General features: G+C 42.7%; 1 protein-coding gene and 1 pseudogene across 3 annotated transcripts in view, besides 1 other annotated feature; one reads left to right on the top strand and one right to left on the bottom strand.

Annotated features, from left to right (window-relative positions):
* Positions 1 to 25,134, bottom strand: part of SGPP2 (sphingosine-1-phosphate phosphatase 2) — a 138,634-nt gene that overhangs the window by 92,276 nt on the left and 21,224 nt on the right. Inside the window, exon 2 of one of the 3 annotated variants that reach the window (NM_001320833.2) lies at positions 22,921 to 23,063. The exons of the other annotated variants lie outside the window; for them this stretch is intronic. The gene's annotated coding sequence lies outside the window, so the exon portion shown is untranslated. The remainder of the gene's footprint in view (positions 1 to 22,920; positions 23,064 to 25,134) is intronic. 3 annotated transcript variants of the gene reach the window in all.
* NANOGP2 (Nanog homeobox pseudogene 2) lies at positions 16,860 to 18,304 on the top strand (annotated as a pseudogene).
* Positions 18,727 to 18,776: an enhancer, noted in NCBI's record as "active region_17166". NCBI's record gives its function as "activates an Ori minimal core promoter by ATAC-STARR-seq in GM12878 lymphoblastoid cells {active_cell/tissue: GM12878}" and the evidence as "EXISTENCE:reporter gene assay evidence [ECO:0000049][PMID:35858748]".

Here is a 25,134-nt window from a genome sequence, read left to right as displayed (position 1 = left end):
CTTGGGGGCTTAGATGTACCTAAATAAAACAACATGTACTTGTCTTTTTTATTTTATTTTTTAATTTCACTTTAAATTCTGAGATACATGTGCAGATCGTGCAGGTTTGTTACACAGGTATGCGTGTGCCATGGTGGTTTGCTGCACCTATCAACCCATCATTTAGGTTTTAAGCCCCGCATGCATTAGGTATTTGCCCTGCTACTCTCCCTCTCCTTGCCCCCCACCCCGCTGACAGGCCCCGGTGTGTGATGTTCCCCTCCCTGTGTCCATGTGTTCTCGTTGTTCAACTCCCACTTATGAGTGAGAACATGTGGTGTTTGGTTTTCTGTTCCTGTGTTAGTTTGCTGAGAATGATGGCTTCCAGCTTCATCCATGTCCCTGCAAAGGACATGAACTCATTCTTTTTTATGGCTGCATGGTATTCCATGGTGTATATGTATCACATTTTCTTTATCCAGTCTATCATTGATGGGCATTTGGGTTTGTTCTAAGTCTTTGCTATTGTAAATAATGCTGCACTAAAACATAAAACAACACATATTTGTCTTTTTAGAAGAAGGATGAGTTTCCTTTGTAGTAAATCTCAGTGTGTGTGACTTCAATACATCTTTGGAAATAGTAGGAATTTCAGTTCCAGTGTGTGTGTTGTTCCTACTGGGAACAATTAGAAAAGGAAGAAATAGTGGTTAGAAATGGTAGGTAAAATAGAATGGCAGAGAAGAGAGGAGCAAAAGCTGAGGCCAATGAAACCAAGTTCCAGAATTCTACCTCTACATTTCTGACTAGCCAGCAAAAGAGCTGATGGCCTAGGCTTTGATGGCAGACTTTGAGGAGAGCCACTCTTAGAAATAAAATGCTTCAGCCAGGCGCGATGGCTCATGCCTGTAATCCCAGCACTTTGGGAGTCCGAGGCAGGTAGATCACGAGGTCAGGAGTTCAAGACCAGCCTGGCCAAGATGGTGAAACCCTGTCTGTACTAAAAATACAACAAATTAGCCGGGCATGGTGGCACATGTCTGTAATCCCAGCTACTCTGGAGGCTGAGGCAGAGAATTGCTTAAACCTGGAGGGGCGGAGGTTGCGGTGAGCCGAGATCACGCCACTGCACTCCAGCCTGGGTGACAGAGCGAGACTCCGTCTCAAAAAAAAAAGAAATAAAATGTTTCTTAGCATGCATCTCATCTGTCACACAGCAAATGAAGAAGTGTCTGACAAACAAGAAATGATAAAATGAAAATTACCCACATTATTATTACCCATTATTACTAGCTGCAAAATGTTACTGATATTCCTCATGAGAGGCTCTTATTTATTAGTTTATTTTTCTGAAAGTTTTTTTTAAAAAAGGTTTTCCTAGGGCTCCTTATTATCTCAGGCTCCCAACCCCATATTCCCTTTCAGGTCGTAAGTTCTTTAAATGCACATTTCCCTAAAATGGGATTTTTTCAGCCATTTAACCTTGTGGTTGCAGAAGAGCTACTCTATCTTGCTGATATTGGAGTATTAAGTGTTGTTTGCAAGGCTGCCTTCAATGTTTAAATAAACCAGGGAAGAAGGGGAGGCATGCAGATTGACTGCATGGTGGAAGAAAAAGAACATTGAGAATGTATGACTTACTGACTAAACCCTGCCAATGAACACCTGAACAGCGCTTTGCTTTCCAAACACATACAAAGGAGTCCTAAATGCAAAGGAAATATACCCAGGTCAGCGCCACTGGACATAATAAGGGCTGATCTACACAGCAGAGGAGCGAATGCCCAGCAGACTTGGCGGCCAGCCCAGCTTTTGAGCTTTCAAAGGAGGAATACAAGAAATAGCTTTCAGTCAAAACAAAGTGTGACCTTGGGGAAGTCAATTTGCCTTTCTGAGCCTCAACAGCCTCAACTGCAAAGAATGCAATGGATGGAGAAGGATTAGCTCAGTTGTTTTTTAATGTACAATTTTTTTTTTTTTTTACAAGGAAGGAAAGGCTCATTAAATAAAATGTTACCCTAGGGCCTACTATATAAAATGATATAAGATTGAAAGTACTCATTGAAAGTACTGTACTAATTGGCTGAAAATGAAGTAGGGTCCACCAAACCTCTATCCCAGGCCAGCCGCTCCCCGCCCTGCCACAACCGCCCCACGCCCCAGTCCTTCTCTAGAGGGAGCATCCTCTCAGAGCAGAGCAGTTCAGTAATCAATCTGAAAATCATGGACCTCAACCTCTTCCAGACGCCAGATATCATCTTCCTGTAATTAACTTTTGGTCTCAAGTACACAGGCTATAGCTATTCTGACCTTGAGGTCTTTAAAGAATTTGATAAACTGTAGACCAATGTCATTGCAAGGTTGTATTACTTCCTCTGTTTTTTTTTTTTTTTTTTTTTTTTTTTTTTTTTTTTTTCAGATTAGAGCTTTAAATATACATTTTCTTCCAAAGGTCAAGTCCAAGATACTCCACCACTTCAACAGAGCCAGGAGTTCACATCTCGGGGGGATGGTAATCTGCAACTCTAAGCCATCCAGTTTAATTGGAAACAGCAGAAAGAGCTTGTTCTCTGGGGCTGAGAGAGATAAAATCTACACAGGGTACAACTCAGTCTTATTTTAAGATAATGTTAAGATTCAAAGCTCTTTTACAAAACACGCCAAGAAGCAGCCTTCCCTCCACAGTGGCTTTGCTTTTGGAGTTTTGCAGACTGACTAGAAGGAAGCAAATGAAATGAATATGGAGTGAGCTGACCTGGCCAGCAGGGAAGAAGGAAGGCCTAGGGGAGAGGGAAATGGATGCTAGAGGCAAAGTGTCTCAGATTGAACTCAAGCTACCTATGCTCCCTACCCGGATAATTTCACATAAATGACTTGATCTCCTGAGCTTCAGCTTCCTCACCTGCTAATGGGAATAATAAGAGTACATAGCACACAGAGACCTTGGGAGGATGAAACAAGATCGTGTTGATGGTGTGTGCAGGGTACTCAGATCAGAGCAGGCAAAGAAATGTCTCAACAGGACATGGCTGTTGATGACGATGATGATGGTGGGGGTGGTAGCAGTGAGGCTTCTAGAAAGAACTTCTCAATTGTAATATGCATCCGAATGACCTGGGCATCTTGTTAATGAGCAGATTTTGATGTAGTTGACCTGGGGCAGGGGAGAGACTTCTCAGGAGCGCAGGTGATGTTGACGTTGCCATGTTGCTGGCCCGTGGACCTCACTGTGAGTAGCTTTAGGATCAAGAACACCCCAGTGAAGGGTCTTTCAACACAAAAGTAAGGCTCTCAGATTTAATCCTCAGTATTAGAGGTTATCTCAACTGGCATTAAGAGAGTAAGTAATGTGATCCAGGTGATAGATTAAAATGCCAGTGACAAACCAGAGGGGAACAGTGAACAGATACCATGGAGGATCCTGCAACACAGGAACTGAGCCCAGACAAGCACCTCAACCCTAGAAAGTACCAAAGGGAAGGCACAGGTAAGACATGCCTCCCTGAGACAGCAGCCTGATCAAATGACTGACTGATGATGCAGAAAGAAATATGCTACTGCACTTCTTGCCTTGATTTGAGAGGTTTACATAAATACTGGAATGACAAATTTGAAATTAGTTAAGAAGGAGTAATGAAGTTTGAAAGCCTTTCCTAACTTCTCAGAGCATCACAATACCAAAAAAAAACCCAAACCATGTTTCCCTAAGAAGGGCTTTTGCACTACTGTCAGAATCCTGGCTTAGAAACAGGTTTCTCAGGCCTTTGCAGGGAACAACTGTCGTTATGTTTTCTGAAAATAAAAATTAAGGCTGGGCACAGTGGCTCACGCCTGTAATCCCAGCACTTTGGGAGGCCGAGGTGGGCGGATCACGAGGTCAGGAGATCGAGACCATCCTGGCTAACATGGTGAAACCCCATCTCCACTAAAAATACAAAAAATTAGCCAGGCATGGTGGCATGCGCTTGTAGTCCCAGCTACTTGGGAGGCTGAGGCAAGAGAATCGCTTGAACCCAGGAGGTGGAGGTTACAGTGAGCCGAGATTGCGCCACTGCACTCCAGCCTGGGTGACAGAGAGAGACTCTGTCTAAAAAAAAAAAAAAAAAAAAAAAAGTTGAAAACAGCAAAGTTTTTCCAAACAGGGGCCATGTCTACATAGAACATTCATTTACTGTGTATGCTTCAGTGATGTAAGGTTGACAATAAACAAGACTATTTTTAAAATATTATTTTTAAGTAGAGATATGGTCTCACTATGTTCCTCAGGCTGGTCTTGAACTCCTGACTTCAAGCAATCCTCCTCCTTTGGCCTCCCAAGGTGCTGGGATTTCAGGCATGAGCCACCACAGCCAGCTAGCAAGACTACTTCATTTAGCAATAAGTGCTATGACGAAATTAAAGCAGGAAATGGGTTACAAAGTGATCAATGTGTGTCTGGGGATGCTTGCCACAGAGGAGCCATTTGAGCTGAGCCCTGGATAAGGAGAGGTGTTGCTTCTTTGAGGGTCTGCGGGTCAGAGAGAGAACACTTAGTGAAAGGCCCCAAGCAGGAGGCAGCTCTGCCTGCTGGGATATGTGTGAAAGAGACAGAGAGGAGATGACCTCAAGAGCAGACGTGAAACCAAGCCCAGACTTGAGACTGAGGCTGGAAGGAGCAGAAAGCCATGGGAGGGTTTTAAATGGGAGCACAACTGGATTTACTCTGGTGAGACTAGAACAAATTTTGGCTCTGAAACAGTGGGATGAAGCCCTGCTTTAATTCTTTTGTTTTTTGATTTCTTAAACTTGGTGAGAAAATATCATTAATTCCCAGTTCTGAACTGAAAAGCCACTGGGGTGAAATGGCATCATTTCTACCATGAGGGAGACCTGTGGTGTCCTGAATTCACAAATCTATTTACTAACCTGGCCCGTCACTTTTAATTACTCACTTTTTTTTTTTTAAGAGAATCAAGACTTTCCAACCTATAAAGAAAATTAAATGATGATTACTCAGGAAGCCTAAGAAAGACTGACAGTGTCCCTTGAAGGAGAAAACAGAAGGAACAAAAATGCACGAGGGCTTCTTCTTTCATCTTCAAGTCCAGATAGAATTACAAGTTGGGTGATCTAGCCAATGTCTAAGCAGCGCTCAGGTGATTAAAATTTCAGGATGGCGAGACTGAAAGTCAATAAAATGTAAGGACAACTTATTGGAGTCAGCTTGAGAGGGAACTGCACACTCATCACTGTCACCTGCTTAGTGGGCGTTTGTCGGGATCCCTCTGCTGCGTCCAAGGATAGGAGGGAGGGTTGAGGGGACTGAGCCCAATGTGGCTTTCATTTTACAGTGGAATTTCAGTTGTAGTCTTTTACACAATTTGAACTGTTTTCCTCTTGATAATCTGTCATATTTCAGCTCATCCTCTGAACATCTAATATCTTTTCTTCCTTTTCCTCAAGGTGGACCAGGACTACAAATTAAGAAATTCTTGAAATTGTGAGACAGTGACCCATGGTGGCAACAATGCTCTTCTTGACTCTAGAAAAGGGTCTTGTAACTAGAAAAAACACTGTCTCATCATCACTTAAAACCCTGTGCTTGGGCTGGGTGCAGTAGCTCATACCTGTAATCCCAGCTGTTTGGGAGGCTGAGGTAGGAGGATCGCTTGAGGCCAGGAGTCTGAGAAGAGCCTGGGAAACATAGTGAGACCTGTCTCTACAAAAAATTAAAAATATTAGCCAGGTATGGTGGCACACACCTGTGGTCCCAGCTATTTGGGAGGTTGAGGTGAGAGAATTGTTTGAACCTGGGTGGTAGAGGCTCCAGTGAGCCATGATCATGCCACTGCACTCCAGCATGGGCAATAGAGTGAGACCCTATCTCAAAAAAGCAAAGAACAAAAAACCTCTGTACTTGAAGGACACAGCATTTGCTTAGGAACCAAATCTGGGCATAGGATAGTGAGAGGGTTAGAAGCAAGCCTTTATCTGGATAGGACAGAAATTTGCAGTCATCATTTCAGAGACCAGGAATGTGAACTTCTGCTAGAGAATTTCTTCCACAGACAATAAGAGACATTGGCATCGATACAAAGAACAGAAATAACCACTGCCATTTTTAAAGTGGGTGGGAGAGCCAGCTGCCCTTTAAATAATCAAAATGTCTTAAGAACTTAACTGTTTTTCAAAACATCTTGGATCTGCTAAAACCTGAAACACATTGAACCGAACATTTTTCCATTTAATTATTAAGCCCTTGTATGTGCGGAGGGATTTGGCAGGCAGATGTTTCTGATTCATTTATATTAACTTATCGAAATGATACTTGGAAGAGCTGTATGATGTTCGAGAAGGAGTGTTATAAACTTCAGTTTACTCGTTTTCATCCAGGCATTTCCCCTCACCCCAACACACGTACAGGATTCAGAACTTGGGAGGGTTGATTCAGTCTCTTCTAACCTGGCAGCATGTCCTCACCCATCCCTACCTCCCTTCAAAAAACATTTTCTGAAGCATTAAAAGGCACTGCCAAAAATGTAAGAAAATTATTCAGGCATAAATAAAGTTTTTTCTGTGATAATCTTTTATGTACCAAGATTTTAAAAGCAAATAGGTAAATCATACAAACACAAAACTGAAGTCTGACAAATTTGTCACCAAAGTCAAGGTGGTTTTATACAAGGGCTTTCCCACTTCCCTCTTTATTTGGGCTAAATGGCCACACAATTTTTAGCTTGGAATTTTCTTTCAGGACAGTCATGTTAGTGGGTGCATGTGTACGTGGAGAAGGAGGCTGAAGCAAAATGGTATCTTCATGCTACTCCTCCCATTTCTTTCATTTTTTAAAAATAGAGACAGGGTCTCACTCTGTAGTCCAGACTGGGCTCAATTCTCAAGAGACCCTTCTGTGGCACCATGATCAACTATTTTTTTTATATTTTGTAGAGACAGGGCCTTACTATGTTCTTGAACTCCTGGCCTCAAGCAATCCTCCTGCCTCCCAAAATGCTGAGATTATAGGCTACTGTGCTCAGCCGCTTCCCCATTTCTTGAATCCAGCCCTTTGCTTTTCAGAGCTCTAAAGGAATCCAAGATGGTAAAGACAGTGCTTGGGAAGGATTTTCCTTTCTTGATCCTTCCCAGTCCCTGGGGTGACTGTGGATATGTGGTAGTGGATATCCGTGATCAGTCAGGGATGGAATAGACTAAGTGGGGACAGAATGGAAGAGGGAGGACATTTTGCCAAAAGAGTCTTGCTGTCTCCACGCTCCTCCTAAAGTCTTGCCTAGAGCAGAAATTCTTGAGAAGTTCCATCAATTTCCGTCACATTTTCACACTGTAGTTCCCCAATGGGAGGCTGTCGCTGAGGAAGTTTAAAGCCATTCGTCACAAAAATAAACTCAGGAAAAGCTTTGAAGTTGGGTGCATACACATGAAAGAACATTAAGAAGAAAACCATGCTGGGTGGGAACAATGGTCCTTCCCACCCAGACTACCTCCTCCGACCCTGCTTGCTTTGTGCTCTGAGAATTTTTGTTTGTTTGTTTTTCTGATTATCTGATTATCAATTTTTTTTCTGATTAACACATTTTACTTGAGAACATCATGGAAGTTCCAAAACTATATAAAAATAAAATCAAAACTGCCATTGTCCCACCCCTCAGACAATCCTCTGGAACATTCCTCGTGGTCCCTTTACTATGCATAATCGTGAGTGCAGGTGGTGCTATGTATCTTAACGAAATTGTGATTGCGATTAAGATCGAAAATCTTAAATTTTAAAGCATTATTACATTGTGAGCATTTCTCTAGGTCCCTAAATATTATTTCAGACCATTCTTTTGGCTGAGCTTAGCTTTTTACCTGTCTAGATCCAGTTTTGCTGCGTTTCACTTCCTCATCCACCCATTCTCACAGCAGATCCAACAGCTGACCCCTACAGCAAACAAGCCCACCAGATGACCAGTGTTGACGTGAGCATGAGTCTTGTCACCCAAGGGTCTTCTAACTCCCTGCTTACTCCCTGCTCACTTTTGCTCTAACATGAGTCTTGTCACCCAAGAGCGTTTCTAGCTCCCTACTCACTTCTGCTGGGGTGCATGGAGACCCCATTCCCATGGACCTCTTTCTACCCTGCTCATTCCTTAACCTGACCAAATAAGCATATGTGTTGACCATGTTCCCCGCCACCATCTGCTTGAGTTTCTTGGCCTTACGATGTTTGCTTGTGTTATTCTCCTGAGGACCCAAGATCTCTCTGCCATGTTTTGCAAAAGCTTCAAGCATACGCTTTAAGGCCTCTCAAGGACCACAGCTCAGAGATACACTGCTGAAGAAATAAAGAACGACCTGGGGACAGGCATGACTCATGACGGTCGCTGTGCTGAGGCAGAGGGACAGTCCCCTAACCCATTTCACACAGGTAAAGCCAAGTTCTCTATACTTTGGAAGTCACAGGGGTTTGTACACAAGCTGGAGACTTCCTTTGTTGGCTCCAGCCAGCTGTGGTTGAGATAAACGAATATGAACAGAACCTAAGAGCAGGTCCCCAACCCCTGGGCCATGGACTGGTTCCATTAGGAACCAGCAGGAGATGAGTGGAGGGTGAGTGAACATTACCACTTGTGCTCCACCTCCTGTCAGATCAGTGGCCCCGTTAGATTCTCATAGGAGCACAAACCCTATTGTGAACTGCACATGCGAGGGATCTAGGCTGTGCACTTCTTATGAGAATCTAATGCCTGATGATCTGTCACTGTCTCCCATCACCCTTAGATGGGACCATCTAGTTGCAGGAAAACAAGCTTAGGGCTCCCACTGATTCTACATTATGGTGAGTTGTATAATTATTTCATTATATTAATATATTACAATGTAATAATAATAGAAATAAAGTGCACAATAAAGGCAACGTGCTTGAATCATCCTAAAACCATCCCCCCACCTGCCCAGTCCGTGGGAAAATCGTCTTCCATGAAACTGGTCTCTGATGCCAAAAAGGCTGGGGACTGCTGCCTAAGAGGCTCTGGGTGTCATCACCAGCCTTGGGACCAATGCCGGACATGCTAGGTAACTCTGGGGAAGTCTGAACTTATAACTTCACCTTGCAGTGGGGACAACACCAGCTTCTTTACTAAGGCATTTGGAAGGGGAAATGGAGTCACTTATGTAAATCACATGCTACCCCATCAGGCACACAGCATGTGTTCAATAAATGGTCATTGTATTTGCATTTCTATTAACAATGTAAATCACAAGACAATGTCAAAAGAAAGTCCAGTTGGAGTAGAACACAGAGGAGAGAAAGACGGTAAAAAGATTCGAAAAACAGCCGAATGTGGTGGCTCATGCCTATAATCCCAGCACTTTGGAAGGCAGGAGGAGTGTTTGAGCCTGGGGGTTCAAGGCTGCAGTGAGCTATTATCATGCCACTGCACTTCAGCCTGGGCAACAGAGTGAGATCCCATTGCTTAATTAATTTAAAGAGATTTTTTAAAAAGGCATCATGAAGGGAGAGGAAAGGAATTCACCCTGGAAGGAAGACTCAGATTTTAACAGAGAAGGGAAAGAGGGACATTCCAGCAGAAAGGAACAGCAAGAGGAGAGGCATGGAAGCTGTGAGGCACCGTGTTCCTGAAACAGTACCTGGTCCACGACAGAGCAGCCAGGGTGTGAGGGATTTGTAAAGGGAGTCGTAGGCAGCAGAGCTAGAAGTGGAGGCCAAAGCCAGAGAGGAGAGCCCTGGAGGTCGTAATAAGGAGGCTGGGTTTAGAACTTGGGTAATAGGGAGCCTTTGAAAGTGCTGGAGCCAAGAGGTGCCATGATCAGAGATGTGCTGCTGTAAACGGTCACCAGTGGATTCACATTCTTGTCTTTTCTAAGTAATTTTGCATTGTTTTTCAGATTCAAATGTATCTTAAGGAGAAGTCACAGACATATTGCCATGAAGCTCAACCGCTTATGTCGTGTTCTCAGGGGTTTTATACACAACCCAGCCTCTGCCATCCACAGCCCAGCAGCCCCACTGGAGCCTCCCTGCGCTCCCACCTCACATCTGAAATAACAGCTGGGTACTCAGGGAGTCTCATGGGCCATCCTGGAAGATGAATAAAAATTGGTTTCTGTGTTTGGCCTTGGCGCTGCCATGTGGGATCTGATGATACAGTTATTTAGCAAGAAACCACAGGAACAAAAACAACGTGATAAAACCCAGAGAAAGTGAGTCCTTCTTCTGTGGATGGCAACTGAATGCCACAGGCTGTGCAATGCCCACCCCGAGCAAACCCGGAGGCCCTGGGTTTTGACTGAGCCCCGTCACCGAGGGCCGCGCGCTTCAGATTCCTGCTCTGAAAACAGGGACTGTGGTTCCTATGCCCAAGGAAACAGAGCTTGTCAAAAATATTAAAGTGTGGGAAATGTGGTTCTCATTTCTTTTCACAAGAATGCAGTTTCCAGAAAGTGCTGTGTGACCAGAACCAATGACCCTGGTGCATCAGCGATGGTCAGAGGAACATAGTTTTGCAGTCTTGATAAAGAAGGGAACCAAAGTTGAACAACCTGCAGTATCTCAGTTTTACAAGGAGGATGGTGAATCAGGAAGAGCATGGAGTTGAAGGCCAGAAAGGAGAAAAGAAATGTACAAAGTCCTCACAGCCCTCATTTCAGAATGGTAGATAGAGGTTCATGTTCCGGGAGCCTCTGCCCACTGCCCATCTCTGTCTCTCTCTCTCTCAATCTCTCTGAGACACACACACACACACACCCATGCACGCACACACACATGCATGCATACACACCACTCCCCTCATGCTTTCTATGCTATAATGGGACTCTGCCATACTAAACCAATTCATTGTCTGAAATGGAGGCTGCTTTGGTTAAAATAATGACTTCAGCATCCTGTGTCCTTCCTTGTTCTTTAAAATGTGGCTTCCATGCTAGATGTGGTGGCTCATGCCTATAATCTCAGCACTTTGGGAGGCCGAGGCAGGCAGATCATTTGAGCTCAGGAGTTTGAGACCAGCCTGGCCAAAATGGTAAAACCCTGTTGTCCCTACAAAAAATATAAAAATTAGCCAGGTGTGGTGGCATGTGCCTGTAGTCTTAGCTACTTGGGAGGTTGGGGTGGGAGGATCACTTAAGCCTGGGATGCGTAGGCTGCAGTGAGCCAAGATCGTGCCACTGCACTCCAGCCTAGGAGTCATAGTGAGACCCTGTCTCAAAAAAAAAAAAAAAAAAAAAAGAAAGAAAGAAAGAAAGAAAAAAAAGTGTGTCTTTTTTAGACAAGCAGCAGCACTCCTTGAGAGAAATTCAGAATTTCAGGCCCTACCCAAGACTGGCTGAATCAGTGGGAATTTTAACCAGGTTCCAGAGTGATTCTCTTGCCCATTAAAGTTTGAGAAGCACTAACCTACATCTACTGAGAAAACAAAATATCTGGATGTATTGAGATTTTGCTATTCTATCTGGGCCTACTTAATATGTACACATGTATAGGGAAACCACTTTAAAAGTACGAAAGCCCTCAGTGAGGAAGAGGCAAACTAGAGAGACAAAGTCAATTAGTGCTTGCGCTGGGCTGGGGGTGAGGTGAGGAAAACGGGAATGCTTGCTAATGAGCATGGGTTTCTTTTTGGGGTGATGAAAATGTTCTAAAATTGATTGTGGTGATGGTCACAATATACTAAATTGAGAATATACTAGGAACAACATAGGTAAATTGCATGGCATGTGAACTGTATTTCAATAAAGCTTGAAAAAATTTAAAAGCACTCGGAAGCCTCGGAAATAGCAAACTGAAAACTTCTGACTGTAAAAGAGACCACCTGTAGAGCCAGATCTTAAGGATGCATTAAAGGCCATCTCATCTTTTCATAACTTCATACATAATAAATATCAGTAACTTATTTTTGCTCTAAAACAATATAGGACATTTTAGCCCTCTAATAAGTAACTGCTCTGCTGTCCTGGCTTGGTGAAATGTTATCACGGGAATGTTAAGGAGCAGAGTTTCTTTCAACAGAGGCACTGGGCCAGGCACGGTGGCTCACACCTGTAATCCCAACACTTTGGGAGGATGTGGCAGGAGGATCACTTGAACCAAGAAGTTTGAGACCAGCCTGGCCAACGCAGTGACTCTCCATCTCTACAAAAAATTAAAAAAAAAAAAATAGCTAGGCATGGTGGCACTTGCCTGTAGTTCCAGCTAATTGGGAGGCTGAGGTGGGAGGATCACTTAAGTGGGAGGTTGAGGCCGTAGTGAGCCATGATCTCTCCACTGCACTTCGGGCTGAGTCACACAGCAAGACCCCATCACAAACAAAAACAAAAACAAAACAAAAAACACAAAGAGACACTTAATGGTCATCGGCTCCTAGAACCAGGTAACTGGGGTTCGTATCCTGGACTTTCTGATTTAGGCCCCCTGCTCTGACCCTGCTCCAGCCATGTCCTTCCCTATGAAGCGAGAGAAGATGCTCAATTCTCTAGATCATTCATTGGCAATCCCAGCATTTCCTACCCAAATGCCTGAGCCTGCATCCCAGGCCTGCACAGGTCTCTGCCCCAGGTCTACCCTCCCTGGGGTGGAGGACAGCACAGACATGCACTACCCTAGACTGGAGGCCTGGTTGAGGATGGCTGTTCATGCGGGAACATAGACCCAGACAGAGCCCTTCTGTAGTCCTAGACAGTAGACAGGCTGCCTCCCTTACTTTCCTACTTTTTAGTGTAAATCTCTAGGCCGAGAATTCTAAATTTGAACCCAACTTTCCAGGTCACATGAAGACACAGATGTGAAGATAAGAGGCCAAAACATTATATTTAATGGTTTCTTAGTTTAACAAATAATGTTTAAATATATTGACCTATGGAATCTCAGTCTACATTTGTGTTTACCTTAAAAGCTCGCAATTTTAGAGGTCGCCTGATTGCTTTTTTCCTTCTACATCTGTCAGGTAATAAGAGAGTATTTCTGGTCTTCTATGGAACATGCCATATTTTATAGGCAAATATTAATGCATAGGCCTTACACATTAAAGGTCATCTCATCTTTTCATAACATCGTACATAATAAATATCAAGAATTTATTCTGGCTCCAAAATAATACAGGAAGTTTTAAGACAAGAAACATCTTAAACTTGTTTACCTTCATGTATGCCTCATATTTGCAAAACATGGTAGTTAAAAAAAAAACAGGAAATGAACAATTAAAAAAACCACTGAATATTTTATAATATTAATAAAGCTTAAGGCTCCTCCTGGGCTACTTTTCTACTTATGAAGGATGGAAAAGCAAATCCTCTAGACAAAAATGCAAGGCTCTGAAGATTTTTTTTTCTTTTTTCTTTTTAAATAATAGAAACAGCTTAAATGGAACTTGGGGAGGGTAGGGCTTAATGAGTTTAACCATGAGAGTTTAGAGTCTTTCATGGCGCTTTGAAGCTTCTTAAATAGTTCAGGGACATAATCCTAGAAAGGGTGATTTTGTTACTATTGTCACATGCAACCCACAAGTGGAGCAGGAGAGATAACCTTACTTTATTGCCCTCTTAAAATATTCTGCTTTGGGAATTATTTTTATTCGCTGTGAGTTGTGAAGCTGGGGCTGAGGTCATCACTTGCCTTTGCCTTCCATGAGCATACAGATGTCACCCATGTGTTGACAACCAGGTTAACTCCCACTCAGATCCTATTCTACCCCAGAAGATGCTTAGAATCTGTCATCCATCCTTTATGCCTCTTGTCATCTAGATTCCTTGTGGGAACTCTCCAGCTTTTTCTTTGTACTGAGGATTAGGTATAAATACAATAAATATGCTTCAACATTTCAATCATTTTAGACACCGGGGAGGTAGGAGAGACGGGGAAAATGATCTCAGATAAGACTATGAATTTGTAAGCTGCCATAGAGCTGTGCTGTTCAATATGGTATCCATATGTGGCTATTTAAATTTAACAAAATAAAAGATCCAGTTCCCAATAGTACCAGTTGCATTTCAAGTGCTCAACAGCCACGTGAGGCTAGTGGCTCCCAATATGGACGGTGCAATACAGAACATGTCCATCATCACACAAAATTTACATTAGATGTGTGGAATGGGAGAGTCTGAGTGTTTTCTCCATCATCCCAGCCAAGTTTTCTTTTATTTACTCCAGGATCAGTACTATGATTTCCTATACCATCACATTTTTTGCAAATTAAAGCAATTTATTCTTAAATTCTAAAAGCAGATAATAGTGATGGTTGCACAGCTTTGTGAATATACTAAAAACCTCTGAGTTGTACATTTATTTATTTATTTTAGAGACAGGGTCTTGCTCTATTGCCCAGACTGGAGTGTAGTGGCACAGTCATAGCTCACCATAGCCTCAAACTCCTGGGCTCAAGCAATCCTCCCACCTTAGCCTCCCAAGTTGCTGCGACTATAGACACATGTCACCACACCCGGGGAATATTTTTTAATTTTTAAAAACTTTTGTAGAAACAGGGTCTCACTCTGTTGCCCAGGCTGGAGCACAGTGGTTCAATCATAGCTCACTGAAGCATCAAACTCCTGGGCTCCCAAAGCATTGGGATTACAGGCATGAACCACTGCACCTAGCCGAGTTTTACATTTTAGAAGAGTAAACTTCATTGTATGTGAGTTATATCCCAAGTTAAGAAAATAAAGCCTAATTAGTCAAATATCAAGTAATAATTTTATAACCACCTTGTCAGGTATTGTACAGAGCAGCCCAAATGGTCTTATTCAAATGAAAATCAAGAATCAATTCATTTCTGAAAACAATCTCCATCCTCCAATGGCTCCCAATCACACTCAGAATAAAGTCCCAAAGCACAGCCATGGTCAAGGACTGAGATCTGACCTCTGCTCCTCTCTCCTACCTCCCTGCCTCTCCTTTTTTATGTTCCAGCCACTCTGGCCGTTGCTTACTGCCTCTTACTCGAGCATGTCTTGCACATTCCAGCCTCCTGAGCTTTGTCCTAAGCACACTCTCCTCCTGGTTGGCTCCTTCGCATCTCTGAGATTCCATCTCCCCTACACATCTCCGTTCAGAGATGCCTTCTCAAGCCCTCACCTCCCTGGCTCCACATCATAACCCTGTTCTATCTTCTTCATAGCTTGTAGCCCATCTGAAATTCTCTTAAACTTTTTTTTTTTTTAAAGAGATTGGAGTGGTGGGGGGTCTCACTATGTTGTCCAGGCTGGTCTTGAACTCTTGGGGTCAAGCAATCCTCCCGCCTTGGCCTCCCAAGTAGCTGGGATTACAGATGTATGCCACCATGACCAGCCTAATTCTCTTACTCTTGTACCTGTTAGTTTTTTTCATCTAAACTAGACTTCAAGCTCCTTGAAGGCAAGGACGCTGGGCACCTTGTTCCTGCAGAATTCCTGGCATCAACACAATGGCTGTTGTTCTGCCCACCACGCAGTAAGCATTCAACAAATGCTTGTTGTCTGAAGAGACAGAGAAATAAAAGTGGAGCATGCCATTAGCACACATTCTGGTTAGAAAGTAGCCATCTACGGGTTCTTAATGACACCCAAGGAGCTTTGAAAAATACACATACCTGGACTCTACTCCAGGAGCCTGATTTACTAGATCTGGAGTGAGGTTCAAATTGGCCTGTTTTTTTTTTTTTTTTTAACAGCTCCACTGTTTGGTCCAATTGCCTCATTTTCACAGAAGGGAATGAGGCTCACACTTGCCTGAGTTTTCAGCTAATCAAGCAGAAGCCTGCTTGTCAAGTCTAAGAAGCTCAGCTATCCAGGAACAAGTCTATGTGTGTTTCTGGTCCTCCATTACACTGTACCTGTGAAATCACTGTGGTTCACATTAAAGAAAATCTACTTTGACCCATAGGTCTGAAAGGGACTTTCATAACAGACCACTTCAGAATTTATCACAAGATAGAGTCAAGTTATTTATCTCTGAACTCACTCCTTCCTCATCCAAGCTCTCCTATTATAGTATTGAGGTTTTCACCTTGGCAGAGAGTTGTAAGCACATTTCACCTTGCATGCTTTTCTCCAAGTCAAATCCAGACAGCAGATATAAAACACTGAACATCAGCAATGGGAACAGCATCTCTCAAGAGCCACCTGAGTCATATTTCCCGTTATCTTTTTGAGAAAGATAAACACCAGCAGGCTCTCCTCTCTTTATCTTCAGATGCTTGCAGGTTAGAGAGAAAATTTTCTGTTTGTATTGGCAAAAAAAATCATGAAGTAAAAATGCTTAAATTTTTGAAGGATTCAAAAGGACCTCCTTGCTAGAGAGGAAAATTAAATGGTAATTGTTAACAAAAGTAAAAGATTACAAAATGCATCTACACTTTTGGAAATAAACCAAATGTTCTCTAGCACGCTTATCAAAAGAGGCAGGTCAGTACTATTGTTAAAAACTTGGGTTTCAATCCTTGCTTTACTATTCACTAGCTGTGTGGCCCTGGACAAGTGAGTTAATCTCACTGTGCCTCCGTTTCCTCAACTATATAACATAAAATACAGTTGACCCTTGAACAATGCACGGGTTAGGGGTGCTGACCCCTGTGCAGTCAAAAATTTGCATATAACATTTGGTTCCCTAAAAGCTTGACTACTAATAGCCTACTGTTAACTGGAAGCCTTACTTATAACATAAACAGTCAATCAACATATATTTTATATGTTCTATGCATTATATACTGTATTCTTATAATAAAGTAATCTAGAGAAAAGAAAATGTTATTAAGCAAATCATAAGGAAAATATATTTAATATTGATTAAGTGAAAGTAGATCATCACATTTTTTTTTTCCTTGTCTTCATGTTGAGTAGGCTGAGGAGAAGGAGGAAAAGGAGGGGTTGGTTTTGCTGTCTTAGGGGTGGCAGAGGTGGAAGAAAATCTGTCATTGACATTTTGCTGGGCTGAGCTGGTTGCCTCCTGTTGTTGTGGAGGTGGCTCACTTCATCCCAACTTCTTGATACTTTCACTTCTGGAGGTCATATTTCTCTAAGATCTTCCAGAAAAGTCTTAACGCTGCCTTAGCCTTTTTTCCAGTCCAGCTCTTAAATTTTTTACTTCTCTTCCCCAGTAATAACATGAGTGTGAATCCAGCTTGTCCCCAAACCTGCCTGGCTTCAAAGCATCTGATTGTAAAGAATCTTCACCTATGCCTGTCATTTGTGGGCCTGAAGAAACTATCCATCCTTGCAAATGTCTCCTGCTGAGATGCCTCACACTGCGACTGTCTCTCCTCTTCCTTCCTCCATGGATCTGAGGATAGTCCTGATTCTCCTACCAGTCCCAAAGGCAAACAACCCACTGCTGCAGAGAATAGCGCCACAAAAGAAGGAAGACAAGGTCCCAGTCAAGAAACAGAAGACCAGAACTGTGTTCTCTTCCACCCAGCTGTGTGTACTCAATGATAGATTTCAGAGACAGAAATACCTCAGCCTTCAACAGATGCAAGAACTTTCCAATATCCTGAACCTTAGCTACAAACAGGTGAAGACCTGGTTCCAGAACCAGAGAATGAAATCTAAGAGGTGGCAGAAAAACAACTGGCCGCAGAATAGCAATGGTGTGACTCAGGCCTCAGCACCTACCTACCCCAGCCTCTACTCTTCTTACCACCAGGAATGCCTGGTGAACACGACTGGAAACCTTCCAATGTGGAGCAACCAGACCTGGAGCAATTCAAGCTGCAGCAACCACAGCCTGAACATCCAGTCCTGGAGCAACTACTCCTGGAACACTCAGACCTGGTGCACCCAGTTCTGGAACAATCAGGCCTGGAACAGTCCCTTCTATAACTGTGGAGAGGAATCTCTACAGTCCTGCATGTAGTTCCAGCCAAATTCTCCTGCCAGTTTGCCTTGGAAACTGCTGGGGAAAGCCATAACGTAATAAAGCAGACAACTAGGTATTTTAGTACTCCACAAACCATGGATTTATTCCTAAACTACTCCATGAACATACAACTTGAAGATCTGTGAAGGAGAGTGAAATTGATATTACTCAATTTGACTCTGGGCACTGGCTGAATCCTTCCTCTCCCCTCCTCCCCTCCCTCATAGGATTTTTCTTTTTTGGAAACCACATGTTCTGGTTTCCATTATGCCTATCCAGTCAATATGATGGAGGGTGGGGTATGGTTGAAGCCTAATCAGAGAGGTTTCTTTCTTTTTTCCTATTGGATCTTCCTGGAGAAAAGACATTTTAATAACCTTGGCTGCTAAGGACAACATGATAGAAGCTGTCTCTGGCTATAGATAAGTAGATCTAATACAGTTTGGATATCTTTAGGGTTTAGAATCTAACCTCAAGAATAAGAAATAAAAGTACAAATTGATGTGAAAAAAAAAGAAAATCTATTATTAGTGATCCCAAACAGTTCAAATCCATGTTGCTCAAGAGTCAACTGTACTTACTTTACAGAGCTGTGAAAATTAAATGCATCGATGCATGAGAAGCATTTAGACAGTGCCTGACATACAGAAAGTGCTGAGTAAATAAAAGTTCTTGTTGATAATAATAATGATGATTACTCCACCCATCAGCATTAAACAACTGCTAGGCCATGAGTTTCCATGTATCTCTGCTACCATGCTCAGCAAACATGAAAAAATATTTTTGAATTTATAGATCTTTTCCCTTCTCTTCCTTCCTTTGATTAAGAGTTTGATATTTATCTTCCTTTACTTTTAGTCCCCTTGCATTGCCATCAATCTATAAACCGAGGCACAAAGCTGCGGGGAGCCTGTGGTCAGTGGGAAAGTCTAGCAAGTGGCAGATAAAAGCAAGGCTAGCTGGAGATGGCTGTGCCTCACGACACAGCCCAGGGCTCAGCACATCAGCCCTTCAGACATCTGCTCTGCAGTTTCTCAGTCAGCCACACAGAGCGTGTAGGGTTTAGGTGCCTTGGGCACATCAAAATAATTCTGTACACACTTATGAGACCAGACAAAGAGGCAACTGGAGTGTCTCATGTGTGGTCACATACTTTCTAAATGATTAATATGACTTTCAAAGTATTCGCCATCAATGGGGTGAGAAGTTGATTACATCCACCTGCCCTTTTTTAGGTCACATGAAGAAACTAAGCTAATCATTTTACAGAGCACTTTTTTCCCTTTAAAATATCCCTCCAGATGATTGATTTCATAGGAACTTTGAAAATTGTTTCTGGAAAGTTTGGTTTTAGTGGGGAGTTTTGTTTGGTTAAATCTCTGATTGCAGTTTTTTTTTTTTTTTTCTCTTTTTGTATGGTTTTTATTCATTTGCTACTTTTCATTAAAAGCAAAGAAATGGGGGAAGGGAATGTTGGAATTCCAGTTAATTAAGACAATAAAAATGCATTATACATTTGGTCAAAATACATTTTCTATATTATGAAGGAAATTCACAAAGAGGTTGTTGTTTATAAATCAATATGAAGTAAACATTAAATAGTTAAAAAAAAGATGCAGAAAATAAAAAGAAACCCATTACCCTATTCATCCAGAGAGCTCTTGGAACTAAAGAAATGCTTTCATCAGAGTTCGAGTTCTAGGATGCATGGGAAAGCCAGTGAGAAAAGTGAGGCTCTCTTCCTGTCTTTCTCTCAAACATGGCAAAGGTTTGGTACCAACCCCCTTTTCAAACCCCAGGATTTGGTCTGGGAGTGGGAGGGAAGATGTGGCATCCGAGGTAGAACCTCCCCTCCAGGTTCCCATTAGGTCGTCTGCCAGCTGTGTCTCTCTCAATGCACGTTTTTGTTTAACAGAATGCACCATCAGTAAGCAATTCGATTCACACCTGAATCACTGAAGTTGCGGATCCTGGATGAAACCCATCTTACTGCTTTTGGAGGTGGAGTCTGTCCACCTACCTGAGGGTAACAATTGTTTCATCCTCAGCTATGTCCAGTTGATTTCTGCAATGATATCCATAGAAACTAAAAATATCTGTAGAAAATGATAGCCTATAACTAATTGATGGAAGGAAAGATAAAAGAAGAGAAAGATGATTATTTGGAAAATTTCCACAAATGGCTATGCTGCTGCTAAAAGGAGCTTCAACAATGTTAATATTAAAGCCATTAGTCCCAGGAAGGGCAGACTCTTTAAGCTGCTTGGTGCAAATGAGAAGATGGATGTTACTCAGGCAATGGCTGATGTCACCTCCATCTGCCAGGCATGGTCTGCTAGTAAATAACGTGGGGTGCTGGAACAGTTAGTGAGTGCTTTCTTCGTCTCAGAGGAGGCAGAAATGTTTGATGCTGCAGGACAGAACACAGTCTATATTTCATATTCTAGTTTCTCTTAAGTGGATGATTCCTTTTAGATTGAAGCACATGAAATTGACAATATTTGATTATTGTTGATACACAAAAATGTCAATTTCTTATGGTTCAGCTCATAAATATAAATATAGAGGTTTTCCATTTTAAAAGACAAATTCTGCCACCTCAAACCCGTGTCTGAACTTGGAGAGATGCTCATTCCCATACTTGCTAGCAGGGCCAATGGACCAAGGTGACCTCACAGATCAGAAGTCACAAACAAGCACCCTGCACATGGAATTATGACCCACAGATCTACATTCCCCTTGGTACACACATAACTGGCTTTTAGAAAATTAGTTGCCAGAATTTTAAAACTCCCCAGATTTCATACTGCTCTTGAAAATCAGCTTGGCAGCAGTGTGCATTCCCACAGTCCTTGTGATAAGAATTGGCTAACATGGTGAAACCCCATCTCTACTAGAAATACAAAAAATTAGCAGGGCGTGGTGGCAGGTGCCTATAGTCCCAGCTACTTGGGAGGCTGAGGCAGGAGAATCACTTGAACTTGGGAGGCAGAGGTTGCAGTGAGTTGAGATCGCACCACTGCACTCCAGCCTGGGTGACAGAGCGAGACTCCGTCTCAAAAAAAAAAAAAAAAATTGGCTGACCTGAGTAAAGGCTGCATCCTTAGGATGGGGCACGTGTTCTCCAAGTTCTTCAAAGTTGTAAACCTGACCATTTTTGTTTTTCACCTGGCCCAGGTGGGCTTTTCAGTCCTAGGTTAACTAAATGAATTTGTGTTTGTGTGTCCTCACCCAAAATGCCAAAGCCTGCAATCAAAATGTCAAAAAGTGGATGATGTTCTGACCAGTTAACTGTGAGCTCTTTTCCCTTCTCCAAATAGCAGCCCCACCCTCAATGTCTTAGAGAAGGTTCATTTGGTTTCAACGACCAGATGGGTAGAAAGGGAGAGAGACAAGACAGAACGCACAGTGGGAAGGCAGCATCTGTAGTCATCTCGCAAACAAGAACATGTTTTCGGAATCTCCACAGACGGAAATTCTACACCCTCTCTCTGTAATCCAGTCCTAATGTTGAGCAACCTTCACGGTCAGGAAATTCCACCATAAATAACCCAAATCCTTCATGCAGCTTAAACCCATTTCCTCTTACTCGCTGCTCACTGGAGATGGGGAACAGCTGGTCACTGTTCTCTGTACCAAGTCCTTTGTCAACTGGATGACTGGATTCTGGCTCTGGACTGCTGTCATAATTAGGAGCCTGACTGGTTCCATATTGTGCTGTCTGCAAAAGCATGTAACACGGGAAGATAAAATTTTGAGCATGCTGTGCTTCAGAAATATGCCATCAGGGGAACACAGTGCCTTATCATGTCACCAGGCTGTTCACAATTTATAAACTTGTGAATTTGAGACTTCTGCATGGAAAAGCATGTCTTTCTGAGGCTAGCTCTGCAATGTGAGCATAACAAAAAATAATGCAGAGTTTCTAAATGCTACCAACAAAAACAACACAGCGCTTATTAAGCATTTCCTGTGCTCCCATTATCTGTCTTATCTCACATGTTCTCCACTACAACACAGTAGAAACTCTGCAGGTGGGTAAACTCAGTCCCATAGAGGCTAACTTGCCCATGTTTATGCACCAACAAGTGGGAGAGTAAGTGTGCAAACCCAATCAGTTGGACTCCAGAGCCTGTGCTCTTTTCAACCATCCCTCCAGCTTGCACACAAAGCAGGTGCTGGTATGTCCCACATGGCTCATGGCATGGTGGGGTACAGTCCTTTTGTTTGAACAACCACACTTGGCCAGCAGAGACCAAGAAGTCATGGTAAAAATCATGCATTGAGTGTTCCTGATGTAGAGCAAAGATAAAACTCCAAAGAGCTTTATGGTACAGAGCTTGAATTCTTCTCACCGAGTCCCATGAGAGACTCCAGCTCTCCACTTAGATGCAGACACTAAATGTTTCCCCAATTCCCAGCTGCATGACGTATTCCCAAGCATGTGCTTCGGAGTCCAACCTAGATCATAAGCAAGGTTCTGCCGAATACTACCTGGTCACTTGGGATTCTAGCTGGCCTGCCTCAGCATCCTTGGCAATAAAATGGTGACAAGAGAAATTGCTTCGTGGTGTTGGAGATACACCTCTCTTGCTCTCTCTATCCCCTTGTTTAGCTATGAGTTTTCTTGCTGTGCTTATTTCTACCTGACATTATTTGTTATGTGCCCCTCTGGTTATTTTTTTTTTACCTCCTTCACTAACCCGTGAGCTCAGCATTGAAGAGGCTTTGCCTGTTTTACTCACCACTGTATTCCCAGTGCCTAGCTCAGTGGCTGGCATATAGTAAACATTCAATAAATGTTTGTAGAATGACTAGGTTCTCAGGAGGAAAATTACATGAATTAAATGAAACCATCTATGTAAAATGCAGTAAAGCATAGTTCTTCTCACTTCTCATAGGGTTTTCTCCTTCAAATGGAACAATCTGTTATTTAACTTGTGTCTGATTAGTCAACCTCTGTTCCCTCTATGGTTCTGCAACAATCACTCTAATTTTCTCTTTTATTATGGATCCTCGGCCCAGATATCAGGGGTTCTTTACTGCCCCAACAAAACCTCGTGAATGCCCAGGAACTCAATTTCTCAAAGCATAACACACAGACACTGTTAATTGCTTACCGGACACTACCCACTTTCTTGTGGCTTGTTAGCAGAACTCAAACTCAGGCCAAACCTCAGGCAATAGTGCAAGTCAGTCTGGCAATTCAACTTCCTTCTTTCCCAACCTCATTTGCAATTAGGGGTGGCCATGACACTCAGTCCTGTCAGTGAGAAGTAGGGAGGTGGGTGGGTCAGAGGCAAGATCTTCTGGATATGCTTTTGTTTTCTTTATAAAAAGGATACAAGCAGCCATCACTACTCCACCTTGTTCCTAGCTGGAACATGGTTCTGATGTCAGAAGCAACAGCAGCTATCTTAGCATATGAGGCAACAAGCCAACAGGCAAAACATGGAGGAGCATAAAGAAAGAGGCAGCTTGAGTCTGATGATATTGTGGAGCAGCTGAACAAATGTCAGCATTCACCAGCCTCTAACCTCTTGTTCTATGAGAAAAGAATAAAAATTTCAAGCAACTATTAACAGGGACTACTGTCACCTATAGCAGCAAAAATTTCTTTACTACTGAGTTTACGGACTTCCTTTACAACTCAATCCTTCTTTTTTCCATATTTTCTCATTTATTTCAGTAACATTTCCATCATGCCCCAAATCCTTCAGGCTCCAAATGTTGAGTTATCACTGGATACGACGGACAAAGAAGGCATCCATCTTTGATTCCTGTCAATCTGTTCAAAATGGCTCAATCAAATCAATAAGGATATCCACATTAAATATTTATTCCACTGTTTAGCCAAAAATGGAAAGGATCTTAATTGGCTGGCAGAGATAAATCATGATGAATAATGAACAGCCAATGAAATAGTGATTAAAGTTTTGTACATGAATGTTTATTGATGTGGAACAAAGCTAAAGATGGACTTATACATTAGAAAATTAAGCTGGAAAACCATACTTTTATTAAAGATGGATATAACCCATGCATAGAAAACATTATCTAGAAAGCTATTCCCCCGGATAGCAACAACAAGTAACCCTCAGGGTTCTGGGTACTCGGATCGACTGTTTCATTTAAAACTTTTGACTATTTATAGTTCCTACATTAAAAACATACTGCTTGTGCAATAAGAAAAAAGGTTTTCTTGGGTTGTTTGTTTTGTGTTTGATGTCTCTGACTCATCCCTGTCTCTCCACTCTCCTGCCATTACCAGCATCTAAGAAATCCAAGGTGACTGAAGTCACCACCTTCCAATGACTCCTCCACCTCTTATCTCTCATTATTTCTACCTATACCGTACTCAGCTCCCTCATCATCAACACTCTTCAGGCTACCCCCTGATTTAAAATTAACAATGACTGGTTTCTCTAGGTATAAGCCCCCAGAGTGTTCACCTAGCATTCAAGGGCAGATTGAGTAGACCCATGACTTTATTTCTACTCGTTCCTCTGCTCTTTTCAGTCCCCAAATGTTCCTTCCACATGGCACATTTAATCCCACTTCTAGTTCTTTGCTCTGTAGTTCCGCCCTTCTGGAATGTTCTCTCCAACTCTTCTGACAATCTGAACCCTTTACATTCTGCAAAGCCCACTGTAGCCTTTCTCTTCAGCCTAGGCCAAGCAGGAAGCTCCTGGGATAGTACCCAGATGATGAGGCAGGTAGTAGATCCATCTAAGCCTGGCATTGGGAGGATTCAGAGGAGAGGACATCTAAGCCTTCGGGGTCTACAGAGCAGGCACAGAATAAAAAGACTTCACACCTAATTGCTGGTCATCAGCCTTTTCCACACATCCTCCCATCGAGAGCGGCAGCTCTGTATGGTCTAATCGTTCCAAAGTGATTCTGAGCCTCTCCTCTGGGGACTGCCCACTACATCAGGGAGCATTAGACGGGGTCATCCTAGTCCCAAGGGTAGCACAGTCCTTCTCCCTCAGGAACCATGGCTATTCTCCTTCTCTCTGGAATTTTCTAGGCCAGGAGTCATGAATTGAAATGCCTATGTGGGTCAAGCAACTGGTGTGAGTCAGCAAAGCAACTGCAGGTGTGGGACAAGAGGGAGCCCTGGGGACTGAGGGAGCTGCTATGGTGCAAGGAAGCAACTGGAACTGGAAAGCAACCTCTTATGGTTATGCAGGAATGCAAGCCAGTGCTGCTACAGCTTCCATTGTCTCAAAGAACAGAAGGCAGAAAGTTTAGACAGGCTCCACTAGTAAAGCTATGTGTGAACAAAGCATGTCAGTGGTCAATGTTTGGTCCAACAAGTCCTGGTTTGTGAC

Source organism: Homo sapiens, chromosome 2 (assembly GCF_000001405.40).
Source record: "Homo sapiens chromosome 2, GRCh38.p14 Primary Assembly".
NCBI classification, from domain to species: Eukaryota; Metazoa; Chordata; class Mammalia; order Primates; family Hominidae; genus Homo; species Homo sapiens.
The sequence above is the reverse complement of the archived record's forward strand: the minus strand, read 5'-3'. Positions and strand labels throughout refer to the sequence as shown.